The following is an 18,660-nucleotide window of genomic DNA, read 5'->3' as shown; positions in this document are numbered from 1 at the left end:
TCATTTAATGAATGGCTTGCACTCATACCTTCTCACAGAATTTACTACAAAGTGCAGAAAAGTCTACTTTCCCCTAGATGTTAAAAAGTACCCACCTTCCAAAAAAAATTAAAATCACTTCTTGAATGACTTTCAAACAAATAAACATTTTTTAAAAGAAAAAAAATAGGCTAGGCAGTGGCTCATGTCTGTAATGAGCACTTTGGGAGGCCGAGGCAGGATCACCTGAGGTCAGGAGTTCGAGACCAGCCTGGCCAACACGGTGAAACCCCGTTTCTATTAAAAATACAAAAAATTGGCCAGGTGCGGTGGCAGGCATCTGTAATTTTAGCTACTCGGGAGGCTGAGGCAGGAGAATCGCTTGAACCCAGGAGATGGAGGTTGTAGTGAGCCAAGATGGCGCCATTGCACTCCAGCCTGGCAACAAGAGCAAAATTGTCTCAAAAAAAAAAAAAAAAAGAAAAGAAAAGAAAAGAAAAGAAAGAAAGAAAGAAAGAAAGAAAGAAAGAAAGAAAGAAAGAAAGAAAGAAAGAAACTTTTTTTTTTTTTTTGAGACGGAGTCTTGCTCTGTCTCCCAGGCTGGAGTGCAGTGGCACCATCTCGGCTCACTGCAAGCTCCGCCCCCTGGGTTCAAGCAATTCTCCTGCCTGAGCCTCCCGAGTAGCTGGGACTACAGGCACCCGCCACCATGCCCTGATAATTTTTGTATTTTTTTAGTAGAGACGGGGTTTCACCGTGTTAGCCAGGATGGTCTCGATCTCCTGACCTCGTGATCCGCCTGCCTCAGCCTCCCAAAGTGCTCGGATTACAGGCGTGAGCCACCTTCCCGGCTGAAAATAACTTTTAATAACAAAGGACATACAGACAAATGTAAGTCATGAAAAAGAATTGGATGTATTTTGAAATTATTTTCAACAGAGTATAAAATTGTCAAAGGTGTATGTCGAGTACATTACAAAGATCCAGACACTACCTAGGGAATACTAGGGAAGGTTTGTGTTGACTTGTAAAGCAGTGCAAGTGGATTAAAGGCATCTAAGTCAATGCAGCATGCCAAAGGAGGGTTCTGAACCTGCTCATACATAACCAATCAGCCAGTCTTGAGTTTGCTGGACAAATCTAGTTCATACTTCAAATCCCATGCCAGAATTGTAGTTACTTTAGGGAATCCTAAAGTGAAAGGCTAATTTATAGTCTCTGTGGGATCTCTTTAAGTTTTAAGTTGACTTCCAAGCATGTAGCCCAACTCAGCCCAAATCACACTTAGTGCTAGTAAGAAGCCCCAGTGGACTTCTAGAACATCCCCATACCCTAAAGCCGTAACCCTTGACAAAAACAAGAGAAAGTGATGGTAGGTTTATGCAAACTGGCATCGCCCAGTGACAGCCTCCAGAGTTTTGGCTTCAGAACTGTCTCAAAATTCATACCAAGTACAAGATATGGTCTTGTATTAGGCTTCATATAAATCTCTGCCTGATGCTTAATTCTCCTTTGACATTTCACTGTAGATGACACTCCCAGAGAAGAGTAGAGACACAATGTATGCTGCTGAGCTGTGGTCCCCCTAGGAGCTGACAGAAGGCAGGAGATGGATTCTGCAGCTAAATCTTGGTGTTTTTCCTCTATGTGGTTTTGAGGAGGTTTTCTTCTAAATCTTTGAGCGCTTCCTGTACTCATTACCTAAGTTACATATTTGGCTCAATGTGATTTTTTTTTAAGGACATAGGACTCCTAGAGGAAACGAGACAGACATAAATATACTAACATTTTTTTGAGGCTATAGGTTCCGTGAATAATAGCAGTTGCTGGTACAAATGGAACAACTGGGAGTTGTGTTACTCCATTTTGTATGAATATCACAAACATAGTCTTTATGTTTACGCCATATCTGTTTCTGAAGAGCTCAAAAGACTTTTTCAATTTGTAAGAGGTTTCCGCCCCACAGTCCACACTAAGATTGGTGTGGGAAACCTCGCTCCAAGGCAGCTGGAGATGCAGCCTTCTCCTGCGTTTCACTCAAGGCTAAGTCTTGCAGAGTCAGAACAAATGATTACAGGTCCTTATCTGATGTCAATGATGAGAGATTCCCATGGCTCACGTTCCCCTGGGTCACAAGACCTGGACTTCACTTTGATTTCCAGAAGCAAGGCTGCCATCATCAGGTCCTCTCTAAAATGGCCAATGGCCTCCCTCTGCGCATGTCTCCAGTGACAATGACAAGTTTCTGTTTAATATAATTCACCTGTCTGTTTTGCAATCACTTTAGAGCAAGGATTTTTCGTCTACCTTTTTTTGTATTTCATGGTAGAGTATCCAGCAGAGAATAGATGCTCGGTAAAGAGTAAATTATCAATGAAATTCACTCCATTGGCTCATGCCTGTAATCCCAACACTTTTGAAAGCTGAGGCAGGAGGATCACTCAAGGCCAGGAGTTTGAGACCAGCCTGGGCAACATTGCAAGACCTTGTCTCTACTTTAAGAAAAAAGAAAAAGAAAAAAATTCAGTCCATTGTCATTTTCATTTCTGCAATGAAATGAAAATTGTGATGACCCCAAATCTTTTCTTAGTTTGTACAAGAAAGGTAAGCAGGTTGAAAGTGAAACTGTTTGGGGCTTCTGGAAGCTTGGGAAAGAAGCTAAATTTGGCCTGAGAACAACAGAATTGGGCACATGACATGTAATTTTTGCTTTTATTTGAGCCTCTAAGCCCTCTGACTATTTAAGGAAGAACTATCAGGTGACAGTGAGTTAGAACAGGCAAGTCCTATAAAAAGGGCCTATGAAAACGTCTATTCAGACCCCTTAACCTCCACCCAAATACCCTCCAGTATGAGTCACTTTTTAAGTTTTGTACTTCAAAGAAGCTGTAATAGTAAGAGGCACCTTCTTGATATGCTGTCAAAATGTTCTTCCCCGGAAGAGAAATATGGAAAGGTAGAGGGCGTGTCATAGGTCTGGTTCCTAGGAAGCCCAGAAGCCCACTCCAAGATGGAGTTACGGGCACAGGAAGTGCACTGAGGAGGCCCTGGGGTGGACGCCTGAGAGGAGTGAAGGCCACAGGAGAAGCAGCAACAACCAAGGCCTCAGGGGGCCTCCAGGGAGCTCTGGGGCCATGATGGCCCTTTGGAGTTATTTTCTCATACTCCTGGAGGCTGAAAGTTCAAGATCAAGGTGTCAGTAGGTTTGATTTCTGCTGAGGCTTGCAAATGTCTACTTTGACTTGCAGGGATGTCTTGTCTGTTCACTGTCCTCTTTCCCTCTGTGCACACGAGCCCCTGGTGTCTCTTCCCTTTTTTTTCTTTTGTTTTTCTTGTTTGTTCGTTCGTTTTGTTTTGTTTTTGAAACAGAGTCTTGCTCTGTCACCCAGGCTGGAGTGCAGTGGCACAATCTCGGCTCACTGAAACCTCCACCTCCCGGGTTCAAGAGATTCTTGCGCCTCAGCCTCCCAAGTAGCTGGGACTACAGGCGTATACTACTACACCTAGCTAATTTTTGTATGTTTAGTAGAGATGGGGTTTCATATATGTTGGCCAGGCTGTGCTCAAACTCCTGACCTCAAGTGATCTGCCTGCCTTGGCTTCCCAAAGTGCTGGGATTACGGGTGTGAGCCAACATGCCAGCCTGCCTTCCTCTTCTTATGAGAACACCCAGTCCTCTCGAATTAGGACCCACTCTAAAGACCTCATTTAATCTTAGTTACCTCTTTAAAGGCCCTTCTCCAAGTATTTCTGTCACATTTGAGGTAAGCTCTTAAACCAGTGCATTTTGGGAAACAATTCAGTCCATAACTGTATGTTACATTACCTAGTGTCATTTTCAGGACTTAATACCATAACATTTTGGAGTTGGATGAGTTATTAGAAGTGTTCAAATTTACTTTTTCCTCAAACCTAGAATCCCTGGCAAACAGTGCTTAATTCACTGGAGAACAGTACTTTCCCAGTTGGTAAGTCTGGTATATGGGATTGATCATGTATAGCAGGTAAAAGTAGAAGGAGAGGTGGGTGGAGGCAGGGTTAAGCAAGAATACTGAATTCCAAAGCAGAATTGATCTGTAGTAATAAAAGGAGGTTACAGGCCGGGTGCGGTGGCTTACAACTATAATCCCAGCACCTTTGGAGGCCAAGGTGAGGGGATTACTTGAGTCCAGGAGTTCAAGGCCAGACTGGGCAAGATGGTGAGACCCCTGTCTTTACAAAAAATACACAAATTGACCAGGCATGGTGGTGGCATGTGCCTATAGTCCCAGTCCCTGGGGAGGCTGAGGTGGGAGAATTGCTTGAGCCTGGGAGGTCAAGGCTGCAGAGAGCCATGTTCACACTACTGCGCTCCAGCCTGGGTGACAGCGTAAGACCTTGTCTCAAAAAAAAAAATGCTTTTTTTTTTTTGAGATGGAGTCTCACTCTATCGCCCAGGCTGGAGTGCAGTGGCACCATCTCGGCTCACTGCAAGCTCCGCCTCCCAGATTCACGCCATTCTCCTGCCTCAGCCTCCTGAGTAGCTGGGATTACAGGCGCCCGCCACCACGCCTGGCTAATTTTTCATATTTTTAGTAGAGATGGGGTTTCACCGTGTTAGCCAGGATGGTCTCGATCTCCTGACCTCGTGATCCACCCGCCTCGGCCTCCCATAGTGGTGGGATTACAGGCGTGAGCCACCATGCCTGGCTTTTTTGTTTGTTTGTTTAAATTAAAGGAGGCTACAGAAAAGTCAATGACAACGAGAGTAGAAACTGATGGCACATTAAATGCAGGGCCCAGAATGGTCGGCATAGCCCTGAGCTAGGCGCAGGGACCCCAAGGGCATCTTAACTCCACACCCAACAATGGCTTTCCCGGGGGTGTACCCTCCACTCCCAGGAAATGTGTAGAATAATTAAATAGTTGCGTTAAGGATAACGAATAGGCTGTGCAAGAAATTATAGGATATAGATGAGGAGGAGGGTGACCTCTCTCTTTTTTTTGAGACAGGATTTCACTCTGACACCCAGGCTGAAGTGCAGTGGCGCAATCTCGGCTCGCTGCAGCCTTGACCTCCCCGGCCTCAGATGGTCCTCCCATCTTAGCCTTGCGAGTAACTGGGACTACAGGCACATGCACCATGCCTGGCTAATTTTTTTTCTTTTTTTTTTTTTTTTAGAGAGATTGGGTTTCACCATGTTACTCCAGGCGGGTCTCGAACTCCTGGCCTCAAACAATCTGCCCGCCTCGCTCTCCCAAAGTGCTGGGATTACAGACATGAGCCACCGCTCCTACCGCTCCTGCTCCCCTCTTAAATATAATTTCTCTTCCAAACCTGGACACTCCTTTAATTCCCTATCCAAATGGAATGACTCCTATAAATCCAGCTCTGTAGGGGATGCTGGGAGTGGTGCCCTGAGACTTTTTTCAGGGCTGAAGCCTCATTTCCCAGCTGCTGGGAGTGTGGGCCTTAGGGCTCTCAGCTGAGTTGGTCTACAGGCACTCCCCCATGGAAGAGAGCTGCCTCATCCAAGCTTATGCCCTCTTCCTGGGCAGTGTCTCCCCTCTCCTTCCTGCCCTCATTGGTTTCCTTGCCTTTCCTCCAGCATGCTAGGTACACATCCACACAGGCCATACCTTCACTGGTCTGTTTCCTGGAATGCTTTCCCAGCTATCTGGATGGCAAACTGCCTGGCTTCCGGCAAGTCTCTGCTCAAGCTTCTCTCCTCAGTGAGAGCTGCCCTAGTCAACTGCGTAATCCTACAGCCCGCCCACTCCAACCCACCTCAGCATGCCCATCCTTCAGGTCCTTTTTTGACTTTTTCTTCCCCTAACCTTTTTTTTTTTTTTCTTAAGAGATGGGGTCTCACTATTTTGCCCAGGCTGGTGTCAAACTCCTGGCCTCAGGCAATCCTCCCACTTCAGCCTCCAAAGTCTCTGGGATTACAGGTGTGAGCCACCTGCTCAGCTACTTCTAACCTTTTGGTGTGCTGTCTCCGTTCCCTAGAAGGTACCCTCACGAGGCAGAAGTCTGTTTTGTCCATAGATGTGTTCTAAGCGCATAGTTGGTACTCAAGAAATCTTTGGTACTCAAGAAATTTTTCATCAGCCAAAGGAGGGATATAATTTCAGTCTTTAGATGATCTTAACTCTCTGACATCAGAAAGAGTCATGATGAAGAAAATGTGGTGGTCTTCCTTAGATACTAGAAATTTTATACTGTCTCAGAGAATTCTTTCTGAGTCTCAAGTTTCAATGCTGTAAAAGCAGTGGCATAATGCGTAGCATATTTGACAACCATACCAAATCGTTCTTCCACGCCTCCTTGGCTGTAAACAACAAAACTATTTTCAGTAATTACTAAAAATAATTTTATTGTTATACTTAATTTTATGCTTGTTTGCTTGATTCCTTCTTGAGTTTAAAGCAATTAATAAAAATAATAAATTTTTACCAAAGAAAAATATTAAGTCCAGCCCACATTCAAGAGAGTGGAATTGGAAGGGAAGAGTATGGAAAAATTTCTATATATATTTTTAAACTACCGCACACAGCAATTATTTAGAACTAACAGATTTGGTGAGGGTGCTTATTTTATTCACAGATGTTGTTTAGAACTGCTGGCCCAAGTAGATAATAAAAAGCAGAGGATCCTTTAGTCATTTTTATTACGTTTATACATCCTTTACAGACAATTGCCTCTTGTTGTCTGTACCTGGGCGGAACACTCCTGCTTCCCTGCCCTTAGTAAACCATCAAATAAGAAAGAAAGCAGATATAGAAGATGTAGGGTATTATGGTTGAATCATGGTCCTTAAAAAAGTATGATGAAGTCCTAACTCCCAGTATCTTAGAATATGACCTCATTTGAAAAATTTGCAAAATAGTGTCATTACAGGATATAATGAGTGAAGATGAGGTCATACTGGACCTCATTGGATTGGAGTGGGCCCCAATCCAATATGACTGGTGTCTTTATAAGAGGGGCACCGAGACCCAGACACACAGAGAGAATAGCCTATGATGATGGAGGCAGAGATTGGAGTGATGCTACAAGCCAGAGGATGTCAAGGATCGCCAGCAGCCACCAGAAGCTAAGAGAAGCCCATGGAATAGATTCTCCCTCAGACTCTCCAGAAGGAACCAACCCTGGTGACACTTGATTCCTGTCTTCTGGCCTGCAGAACTGAAGGGAATACATTTCTGCTGTGTAGGTCACCCAGCTTGTGGTACTTTGTTACCGCAGCCCTAGGAAACTGACTCTCGAGTCTTCAGGAAAATCCATCATAGCCACAGCTTGTGGAACACTAGATAGGGAATACTGTGGGATAGCAGATTATTTGGGGAAGGAAATTTTTTTTAAAAGAAAAAGACAGCCAGGTGTCGTGGTTCACGCCTGTAATCCTAGCACTTTAGGAGGCCCAGGCAGGAGAATCACTTGGGCTCAGGAATTTGAAACCAGCCTGGACGACATAGTGAGATCTTGTCTCTATTTATTTTAAAACGAATGAAATAAATAAATAAAATATTTTTTTTTTTTGAGACGGAGTCTCACTCTGTCACCCAGGCTGGAGTGCAGTGGCGCCATCTCAGCTCATTGCCAGCTCCGCCTCCCGGGTTCACGCCATTCTCCTGCCTCAGCCTGCTGAGTAGCTGGGACTATAGGTAGCCGCCACCACACCTGGCTAATTTTTTGTATTTTTAGTAGAGACGGGGTTTCACCATGTTAGCCAGGATGGTCTCGATCTCCTGACCTCGTGATCCACTCGCCTCGGCCTCCCAAAGTGCTGGGATTACAGGCATGAGCCATCATGCCTGGCCAAATAAAATAATTTTTAAAAAGAAAAGAAAAATTGGAGCGTTTTGCTTAGTTGTGTTCTGAATACTTGCAGATTCTTTTTCTTTTTTTTTCCTTTTCTTACAAGTTCCATGGCAGGAAATACTTATAGATTCCACTCTGATTACCTACAGCTTTCCTGCATATTGCAAACCTATCTATCATCAGGGCTGCAGGGAGAATGAAATAAACTGAACCATAATTGATCAGAATTGGAATGAATGCTGACCAGACAAATTCCATCTCCCCTAATTTAAAGATAACCAAGGGCGCAGTTCTCCCTCCCTGAGCTGGTGACTGTCCTGTTTTCATAACCCTGGGCAGTGCAGTGACCTCGAGGACACCAGTGGTAAAAACTGAGTAACATGGGAGCAGCTGTAGGAGTGGAAAGATAAGAGAGGGCAGTTTACCTTCCTGCAGCATGAGCAGCAATCTGAGCTCCTCTTTCTCAAAACTTCTTAAGCTTCTTAACTGCCTCCTTAAACTGCTCCTTAAAAACTCCACTTTCTGGCTGGGTGCGGCGGGTCACGCCTGTAATCCCAGCACTTGGGGAGGCCGAGGTGGGCAGATCACCTGAGGCGGCTGGGAGTTTGAGACCAGCCTGACCAACATGGAGAAACCCCATCTCTACTAAAAATATAAAATTAGCTGGGTGTGGTGGCGCATGCCTGTAATCCCAGCTATTTGGGAGACTGAGACAGGAGAATTGCTTGAACCTGGGAGGCAGAAGTTGTGGTGAGCCGAGATCGCTCCATTGCACTCCAGCCTGGGCAACAAGAGTGAAACTCCGTCTCAAAAACAAACAAACAAACAAACAAAACTCCACTTTCTGTTAGGAAAACAAAGGTGGACAGATGGGTGGTAGCAGGGCCTGGGTTCCAGGGAGGACTCCATCCTAGGGCACAGGCCTAGGTCAGGGCAATGTGTTCCGTGGAGGATAACACAGTCATTTCACCTGTGGCTTGTGTTTTCTTATGGGTAGGGTGAGAGGGCTGGACTAGCAGATTTCCACTTGCCGTGAGTCTTACTGATTTCTGAGTCTGGTTTTAAATAGATTGATCCAGGCAGTACAAAAGCTCCCCTCAGTTCCTCCCTGTACTTCAGAACAGTTATTTCTCCATTCTTGACTCTACTTTTCTAGATAAAGGACTCTTGACTGCTAGTGAGTAGTTAACATCCACTATCCTCTTATCTTGGGCTACCTATGGCAGTCCCAGAAGGTCACTTTGCCATGTGGTTACTGATTCAACGTTAAAGCTTGTAGAACCACTTGGAAAATATCAACCTTTGAGAAGTTCTAGGTTTTAGGAAACTAAAGCTTTTTAACAAATAGCAATGACTTTGCATGTAATTGTTCTATTGTTTTCCTCTCATTTCTTTTTGGTTAAACTTTTTCTGGTTATAAATTAATACATATTCATTACTAAAAATGTGGACAATATAGAAAGTCATACTGTCTATGGTATTTAATATGCAAACAAAAATTGTTAATAATCCTACCCCTCAGAGACAATTGTTAGTACCATTTGATATATTACTTAATAGGCTTTTTTCTATGCATTTATACATGTATTTATTTTTTAAAAATTAGGATGTGCTATGCCAAATATGTTTTGTTGCCTTTTTTTCACTCAATATCATGACCTGAAAATTTTTCCTTATAATTAAATATTCTACGAAAATAATATAATGGCCTTTCTCAACATAAAACTATATGTATGCACTGTTCCCCTATTATCATATATATATATATATATATATATATATCTTCTTTTTTTCCATGTCACAGAACACATGGTTTTTATATATATAGTTATAGTTATATCTTGGTATATATTTAGATTTTTTTCAAATTACAAACAACCAGATAAAAATCTAAATAGCTAAATTGCTATGAAAATTTCTATTATTTCATCAGTAAGACTTGCTGAGCAGACAATGTATAACGATTTTAGTGTATATTGTTAAATTATGATTCTGAAAAAAGTTTTACCAATTCACTTTTTACTGGCAAAATATGACATTTTGTTCATTTTACTTCAGGCTGGCCAAATGAATATATATGTTCACATATATATGTATGTATATACACACATATAGTTTTGTTTTGTTTTGTTTGAGAGATGGGGTCTCACTATGTTTCCCAGACTAGTCTGGAACTCCTGGCCTTAAGCGATCCTCTTGCCTCAGCCTCCCAAGTAGTTGGGATTATAGGCACAAACTACTGTAATTTAAGCTAATTTTATCTTAAAAACAAACTATTTGCTCATTTTGAACATGAAAGATTATACCTTAATTGTTATCCTGGTATGTGTTTATTTGATTACTAGTGAGGTTGGACATTTTTGTCCCTCTTTCTGGTTGAGAATGAAATTTCAGATAGAATTACAATTAGTCTGGGAGTGACACATTTTAGATTGGTTTTATAAATAAAACCTTTTCCATTTCTGTTATTACATATCATATTTCAAAATTGTTTGTCATGATAGTTTGCTGAATGTTCTGGTACACATGTATTTTAAGTGATTCAGCCAGACAGAGCTTATTGTCATAAACTCAGCTTCTTAAAAAAACAAATGCATCAAACAATTATTCTCTGTGGTTCCCAAGGGTAGATTAGGTGTATAATTCCATAATTTGGGAGTACTGAACAAAACCACCTCATTTCATCCATTTGACTAAGATTTCCTGCATGCCAGCCCCAATTCTAGATATGACACAGTCATACAAGAGTCAGCCATGGTCCCTGCATGCACAGAGCTTCATTGTAGTACAGGGCACAGATGACCAAAAAAGGCAAACATACAAAAATATAAAACAATATAGAATGTGAAGTGTTAAAAAAAAAATCAAACAAGAAGTTATCGAGCTAGAGAATAGCACTTTCCTGCTTTGGGTGTGACAGTCAGAGAATACTTTAAGGTGACATTTCAGCTACACCTAAAGGAAGGGAGGGAGCAGTGTGGCAATCCTGACGTGGGAGGGATTTTGGCGGGCTGAGGTTGCAGGAGAGATGTGGCCAGATCCTTAGGGGTCTTTCAGGTCATAGTGAGGAGGTTGAGTGTTACTCTGAATTCAATGGGGAAGCCATTGATGGTTTCAGAAGAAGATCATGTTGTATTGCCCAGGTAGGAAACAGTGAGGAATGCAAGTGAGAAACAGTGGTGGCTTAGGATAAGGGTAAGGAGCTGGAGGTGGAAACAGGTGGGCTAACCTTCTAAACAAGGGCTATATTGTGAAGTCACATGCATGGGTATTTAATTTACTTGCTGGCTTTAAACCCTTTCTTCCTGCTATTCCCAAGCCTGTTAAGGTTGGACTGACTCTTCTGCAGGGGAAATGTCAGTTTGGAGTGGTGGCCGGCTTGTCATTTATAATTTCTCAAAGATAGTATGAGGTGTGTCTGATTAAGCAAGAATGAGATTCAAATCCACACATTATTGAATACCCACCAATTGCCATCCCCTGTTCTAGGAGCTTTTACCTGCTGCTATAGGAAATAAGCCAAATTTAAGTCAGTACACAGATAAATCAAATTAGAGCTTCCATCCTACTGCTTGTAAGAAATGCCTTCTTCATTCTCTGAGCTTTTCCTTCCTTGAAATGTAAAATCCTCCAGCTGCTTACTTAGTCCAAATGAGGTAGTCCTGTTTACTATCGTTACGCAGAAAAGAAACTGAGAAGTCTAGTCACTCTGCCTAAGGTTCCAACCACTGCTCTGGTGAGGCTGGTACCAGAAACAAGATGTTCAGCTCCCAGGCATAAAGGTTGTGGCAATGGGTACTCCACACCATAGGACACTGGGTTCCTGGTTACAACTCTAGTGACAGATAGTTGCATTTACAGTTAATCAGCCATTTCTCTTGACAAACCCCACGGTCCAAGGTGGTAGACCAGGTTGTGATGCAATCACATGACTCTGTTCCTCACTGACCCTCCCCCAGGATAAGACACCACCACCAACTCCACCACCACTGTCACCACCAACACGGTGGATTCCTCCTTAAGGGCTGTTATTGTACATTTCTGACAACTGAGACTTCTTAGGACCATCCCAGGCCATCAGAAGTGTTGTAATAACTTGAGACCTTAGAGGGAAAGGGTAAGGAGTTCTGATTTACAAGGGAACTCCTTGATCGCTTTGCATTTTGTTCACCTCTTCAACAACTTTCAAATGCCACTCAGCAATAGACCAATAGCAAGACAGAGCTCATCACCTTAGCCAAGCCAAAAAAGAGATGTTCGGTCTGAATGCTAAAAAACCAGGGATGTACTTTCCTTACAGCCACACACCTGAAAAAGGTATAGATAATACTAGTTATATTTATGATGTAAAATATTTGCAATGCATTTAATGACCAAAAAGTCAGGGATGAGTCCTAAGTCTCCGTATCTGTTAACTGGATAGGTGATGTCACTGACTGAAACAAAGATTATAAGAGGGTATCAGATGTATGAGGAAGATGAGATCTGCTTTGTACATTTAAAGTATACAGTTTTATGGGGTTTGGGTTTTTTTTTTCTTTTGTTAATACAAATAAAAGGAAGTTCTGGGTGTCAAGTTCAAGAGAAGAGGGTGGGCTTGAGATAAGAGATTTGGAAATGGTCAGCATATTTATGGTAGCTGAGTCATAAGTGTATATGAAATTGACTGGGAAAAGGTCGGAGCTGAGATAGGGCCTGAGGCACAGCACCATCTGAGAAGCAAGCTCACAGAGGAAACCGAGACGGAGCTCTCAGGGTAGCAGGAAGACCATCAGGTTATGGAACCCAAAGGGAGAAAAGATTTCCAGAAGGAGGAATCTGTTTCACAGTATCCAAAGCAACAGAGGTCAAGAAAGACAAGGCTGACATCAGATTATGAAATTCTCAAGTAGATAAGACCTACTGAGGCCTATTTTGGAAACTTATTAACCAAGGTCATATGATTAGATCATATTTCCCTTCCACAATTTGTGCTTAGAGTTGTATCACATTACTCTTATCAGAGCCATTTTGACAATCATCTACTAAGCAGAAATTGGTATAATTGAGGTCTTTTCATCACATCTTACTTTGCTGATTTGATCAGAAGTAAACAAGCCACTTTCTTCTTGAAACCAACAAAATCTCATAGCTACTCTATTCCACTTTGGCTTTTGCCATTTGACCATGGCACTGCCCAGCACAGTATGTGTTCTTCTGAGTTCAGTATGTCTATTTGTGTGTAAGGCAATGACTTCAGTCTCCCAACCATACCTCTTATTGAAATACGATGGAAACTTCTCTTGAACAGCATGATATGACATTGTTTGGTCTTCACTTAGTTTGGGCGTATCATTTACATATTTAGTCCACTTCTTTTCTCATTAGTCTGACATCATTTAGGTACGGCTGCTTGCAGCCAATGTGATCATAAGCAGAAATACAAATATAAACACAAATAAAATGTCAGTACTTGATTACAAAACAATTCATAATATGCTAACATTAAAATTTATAGGTCATTTAAATGAAAATATAAAATTTCAAAATCCTGGAGACCCCTTTCCCGAAGAATACACCTCTTGATCTACGTTTCAGAAACACGGCCAGGGAGATCACGTCTGGTGAATGGCCACTGCTCCTTGCACACTTGCTTTTATTTTTTATTTCTTCTCTCAGGGTCTTTGAAGGAAGAAGGCTGGAGTGGGAACCTGTGAGGAGCAACAATAGCTGTGGAGAAACGGGAGTGACAGGTCTTGATGGTTTCCATGTAGTTGGTTTTAGAATTGCTTTTACTCCACAGTGCCCAATAGAGTGACAATTAACAGTCAAGGCTTCTTTGATACATACTCAAGCACTTAATATTACTTGAAAAAAAAAAAAGGCTTCCATAATGACTGTTGTCGTTTAGTAGGAGACCTGGGGGCCGGAGCCGCCTGTGGACAACCATCCGCCAGCTTCTCTCGCTCCGTCGATTAGGAGGAGTGGTGGCGACCTCGGCCTTCAGTGTCTCCAATGAAGTGAAATGGCGGCAGCGGCGGGGATGATGTTGCTGGGCTTGCTGCAGGCGGGGTGGGTCGGTGCTGGGCCAGGCGATGGAGAAGGTGACAGGAGGCAACCTCTTGTCCATGCTGCTGATCGCCTGCACCTTCACCCTCAGCCTGGTCTACCTGTTCCGTCTGGCCGCCGGCCACTTGGTCCAGCTGCCCGCAGGGGCGAAAAGTCCTCCATACGTTTTCTCCCCAGTTCCATTCCCTGGGCATGCCATAGCATTTGGGAAAAGTCCAGTTGAATTTCTAGAAATGCATATGAGAAGTATGGACCTGTATTTAGTTTTACCATGGTAGGCAAGACATTTACTTACCTTCTGGGGAGTGATGCTGCTGCGCTGCTTTTTAATAGTAAAAATGAAGACCTGAATGCAGAAGATGTCTACAGTCACCTGACGACACCTGTGTTTGGGAAGGGAGTTGCATACGATGTGCCTAATCCAGTTTTCTTGGAGCAGAAGAAAATGTTAAAAAGTGGCCTTAACAAAGCCCACTTTAAACAGCATGTTTCATTGGGAGATATACCTAATGCTAGATGACAAGTTAGTGGGTGCAGCGCACCAGCATGGCACATGTATACATATGTAACTAACCTGCACAATGTGCACATGTACCCTAAAACTTAAAGTATAATAAAAAAAAAAAAGAAAAAGAAACAAAGGAGTACTTTCAGAGTTGGGGAGAAAGTGGAGAAAAAAATGTGTTTGAAGCTCTTTCTGAGCTCATAATTTTAACAGCTAGCCACTGTTTGCATGGAAAGGAAATCAGAAGTCAACTCAATGAAAAGGTAGCACAGCTGTATGCAGATTTGGATGGAGGTTTCAGCCATGCAGCCTGGCTCTTACCAGGTTGGCTGCCTTTGCCTAGTTTCAGATGCAGGGACAGAGCTCATTGGGAAATCAAGGATATTTTCTATAAGGCAATCCAGAAACGCAGACAGTCTCAAGAAAAAATTGATGACATTCTCCAAACTTTACTAGATGCTACATACAAGGATGGGCGTCCTTTGACTGATGATGAAGTAGCAGGGATGCTTATTGGATTACTCTTGGCAGGGCAGCATTCATCCTCAACTACTAGTGCTTGGATGGACTTCTTTTTGGCCAGAGACAAAACACTTCAAGAAAAATGTTATTTAGAACAGAAAACAGTCTGTGGAGAGAATCTGCCTCCTTTAACTTATGACCAACTCAAGGATCTAAATTTACTTGATCGCTGTATAAAAGAAACATTAAGACTTAGACCTCCTATAATGATCATGATGAGAATGGCCAGAACTCCTCAGACTGTGGTAGGGTATACCATTCCTCCAGGACATCAGGTGTGTGTTTCTCCCACTGTCAATCAAAGACCTAAAGACTCATGGGTAGAACGCCTGGACTTTAATCCTGATTGCTACTTACAGGATAACCCAGCATCAGGGGAAAAGTTTGCCTATGTGCCATTTGGAGCTGGGTGTCATCGTTGAATTGGGGAAAATTTTGCCTATGTTCAAATTAAGACAATTTGGTCCACTATGCTTCGTTTATATGAATTTGATCTCATTGATGGATATTTTCCCATCGTGAATTATACAACTATGATTCACACCCCTGAAAACCCACTTATCCATTACAAACGAAGATCAAAATGAAAAAGGTTGCAAGGAACCAATATATGTGATCATCACTGTAAGCCACAAAGGCATTCGAAGAGAATGAAGTGTACAAAACAACTCTTGTAGTGTACTGTTTTTTTTGAGTGTGTAATTCTAAAAGCCAGTTTATGATTTAGTATTTTGTTAACTGAATGGTTCTATCAAATATAATAGCATTTGAAACATTTTCTAATAGCTATGATACTTATACATGTGCTTTCAGGAAGTTCATTAGTAAAACAATTGTTCAGGAGGATCTAGGTAATTGGCAGATTCTAAATAATATAATTTCCAGGTAGTAATTTTAAGAGTACTCTTAGCTCTTGCCAAATAAGTTCAGGGTATTCAAATCTTGGACTAGTCCTGCAAGGTATAAAGAATAAAAATCCCGGTGAGATACTTGGAAACCTCAGGTTATTATTTATCTGGGCAATTATTGTGTGGGTGAGGATGGAAGGGCAGGGAATAATTGAACATCTAAAGCCTTGAATGAGAGAATACTAATTCTTTTGGTATGATGATACTCAGAAATGGAGATGTTGTAGAAAAAAAATATCCTTTGGAATTTTAACTAAAATCACTGAATATAGGAAATTAAGAGATCCGGGACCATATTTGATAAGATTTCCTAAAAATAATGTAATTATTAATGCCAAAAACTGCTCATGTATCTTGATCTAATTACGAAATAATTACATATTTACCTGATAAATATGTATCTAGGTCTTCAAGGTCACATTTATGTGGAAGTCCAAAGTCAAGTCCTTAGGGGATAATTTTGTTTTGGCTCAGTTGTTCCCTGCTTCCTCTCTCTCTCTTTTTTTTTTTTTTTTTTTTTGAGATGGAGTCTCGCTCTGTCGCCCAGGCTGGAGTGCAGTGGCGCGATCTCAGCTCACTGCATCCTCCGCCTCCCGGGTTTAAGCAATTGTCTACATCAGCCTCCTGAGTAGTTGGGATTACAGGCACCTGCCACCACGCCTGGCTAATTTTTGTATTTTTAGTAGAGACAGGGTTTCACTCTTTTGGCTAGGCTGGTCTTGAACTCCTGACCTCGTGATCCACCCGCCTCGGCCTCCCAAAGTGCTGGGATTACAGGCATGAGCCACATGCCTGGCCCTCCCTGCTTCCTCTCTAGAATCCAATTAGGGATGTTTGTTACTACTTATGTTGATTAAAACAGTTAACAAACTTTTTTTCTTTTTAAAATGTGAGATCAGTGAACTCTGGTTTTAATATAATCTGAAACAAGGTCCTTGGGAGTAATATAATTGGTCACATTCTGTAAAGCACATTCTGTTTAGGAATCACTTATCTCAAATTATAACTCAGGGCCTAACTATATGAGATGGCTGAAAAAATACCACATTGTCTGTTTTCACTAGATGATGCCAAAATATTTTGCTTTACGTATATTACAGTTCTTTTTAAAACACTGGAAGACTCATGTTAAACTCTAATTGTGAAGGCAGAAACTCTGCTAATTTTTCACATTAAAATTCTCTTTGAAAAAATACAAAAAAAAAATGACTGTTGTCACCATAGCGATCAGCAGCAGAACTCATTAAGAAGACCTGGCTTTCTTCTTCGTGTGGAAGAGTAGGAATGCAAAGCGTGGAAGTATATTGGACATTAATTATTTTTGCCCCATAAGAAAGGACATTTTCAGCAGGGCACGGTGGCGCATGCCTGTAATCCCAGCACTTTGGGAGGCTGAGGTGGGCAGGTCCCCTGAGGTCAGGAGTTCAAGATCATCCTGGTCAACATGGTGAAACCCTGTCTCTACTAAAAATACAAAAATTAGCCGGCCATGGTGGCGCACACTTGTAACCCCAGCTACTCAGGAGGCTGAGGCAGGATCATTGCTTGAATCCGGGAGGCGGAGGTTGCAGTGAGCCAAGATCCTGCAACTGCACTCCGGCCTGGGTGACAGAGCGAGACTCCACCTCAAAAAAAAAAAAAAAAAAAAAGGACATCTTCTAAGTGCCGTTTAGAATAATATAGTACTTAGTACAAAGTACTGCAACTTAAAATATTATGTCTTCCTTGCAAACTGTATCTTACTCATGTTTGTTTATCTTCTTTCCAATATCCATGCTCCATTGTTTGAAACTCATAACAAGTGCTTCATAAATGCTGATTTGAAGAAGCTGGGAAGTAAGATTAAGTGGCAAGTCCAAGGTTACCAGCTACTAAGTATCAGTTAGGACTCAAACCTAAGACGTTTAACTCTGCATTCAGTGACACAACTGTCATTTAAGGAGTGCTGAGGAAGAGAAAGCAGCTCTGACATCCAGGTGCTGGAACTATCAGCTGGGCCTTGGTGTTGCTAAGAACTTTTCTGGACCATGGTGTTCTGTCGAATGAAAACAATTTCACGGAACACCAAAGTCAGACAAGAGCATTCTGTAACCATGATCAAGACAAAAACAAGACCACGTCATAATTTTGTCTGAACACGGACAAAATTTAGGCACTGTCTAAACCACAAAAATGACAAATATGTGTGACTGTTGCTTCTTTATCATTCATGGCTTTAGCCTCTGTCTAGTCTTGACTCCTAAATAAGACTTATTAAGATACCCAATCATAGAATTACTGCCATTTCCTGACAGCAACCAATCCAGAGTAAGGCCTTGCTTTCTTGAACTCTTCCCAAAATCACATAACGCAAGCCCATAGTAAATTCTAACACCTTCTTACTGAGATGCCCCCACGGTTCCTCATGCATGCATTTCTCCTGGCTTCAAGAAGTAGTAGCTCAATTCTTTTACTACAAGTTGTTCCTGGTGGGTGTGTTGGAGAGCACTGACAACTCCTCCTATGTCCAGGGGCTGTGTTGTGTATACATGCTGAGTGTTTAATTAGACAACCCTGTAAGACTTATCATCCCCACGTGGCAGATAAAGACATGGAGGTTCATGAAAATTTAACGATTTGCCCAAGTCCCCCCTCCCCTCCCCAGGAAAAGCCAGCGACCACATTCCAACCCTCCGCTAACTCTGCATTGAGCACTCTCTTTCCTATGCCCTCCACCTGCGCCCATTCCCCTCTTCTGCGGGCCGACCGGGATCCTGCTGGGGGCTACAGCCCAAACATGTTACTTTTCCAACTGTTGTTTTATGTGTTTCTATGAGAAAGGATATTCGGATTCAGAAATGCTTTGCAACTCCAGAGCTGTTGAGCCTGCGGCGCGGCCCACCACTCAACAGCGG

At 42.3% G+C, this 18,660-nt stretch overlaps 1 pseudogene; it reads left to right on the top strand.

Annotated features, from left to right (window-relative positions):
- On the top strand, window positions 13,672-16,959 carry CYP51A1P2 (cytochrome P450 family 51 subfamily A member 1 pseudogene 2; annotated as a pseudogene).

Source organism: Homo sapiens, chromosome 13 (genome assembly GCF_000001405.40).
Source record: "Homo sapiens chromosome 13, GRCh38.p14 Primary Assembly".
NCBI classification, from domain to species: domain Eukaryota; kingdom Metazoa; phylum Chordata; class Mammalia; order Primates; family Hominidae; genus Homo; species Homo sapiens.
This window is presented reverse-complemented; position numbering and strand designations above follow the sequence as displayed.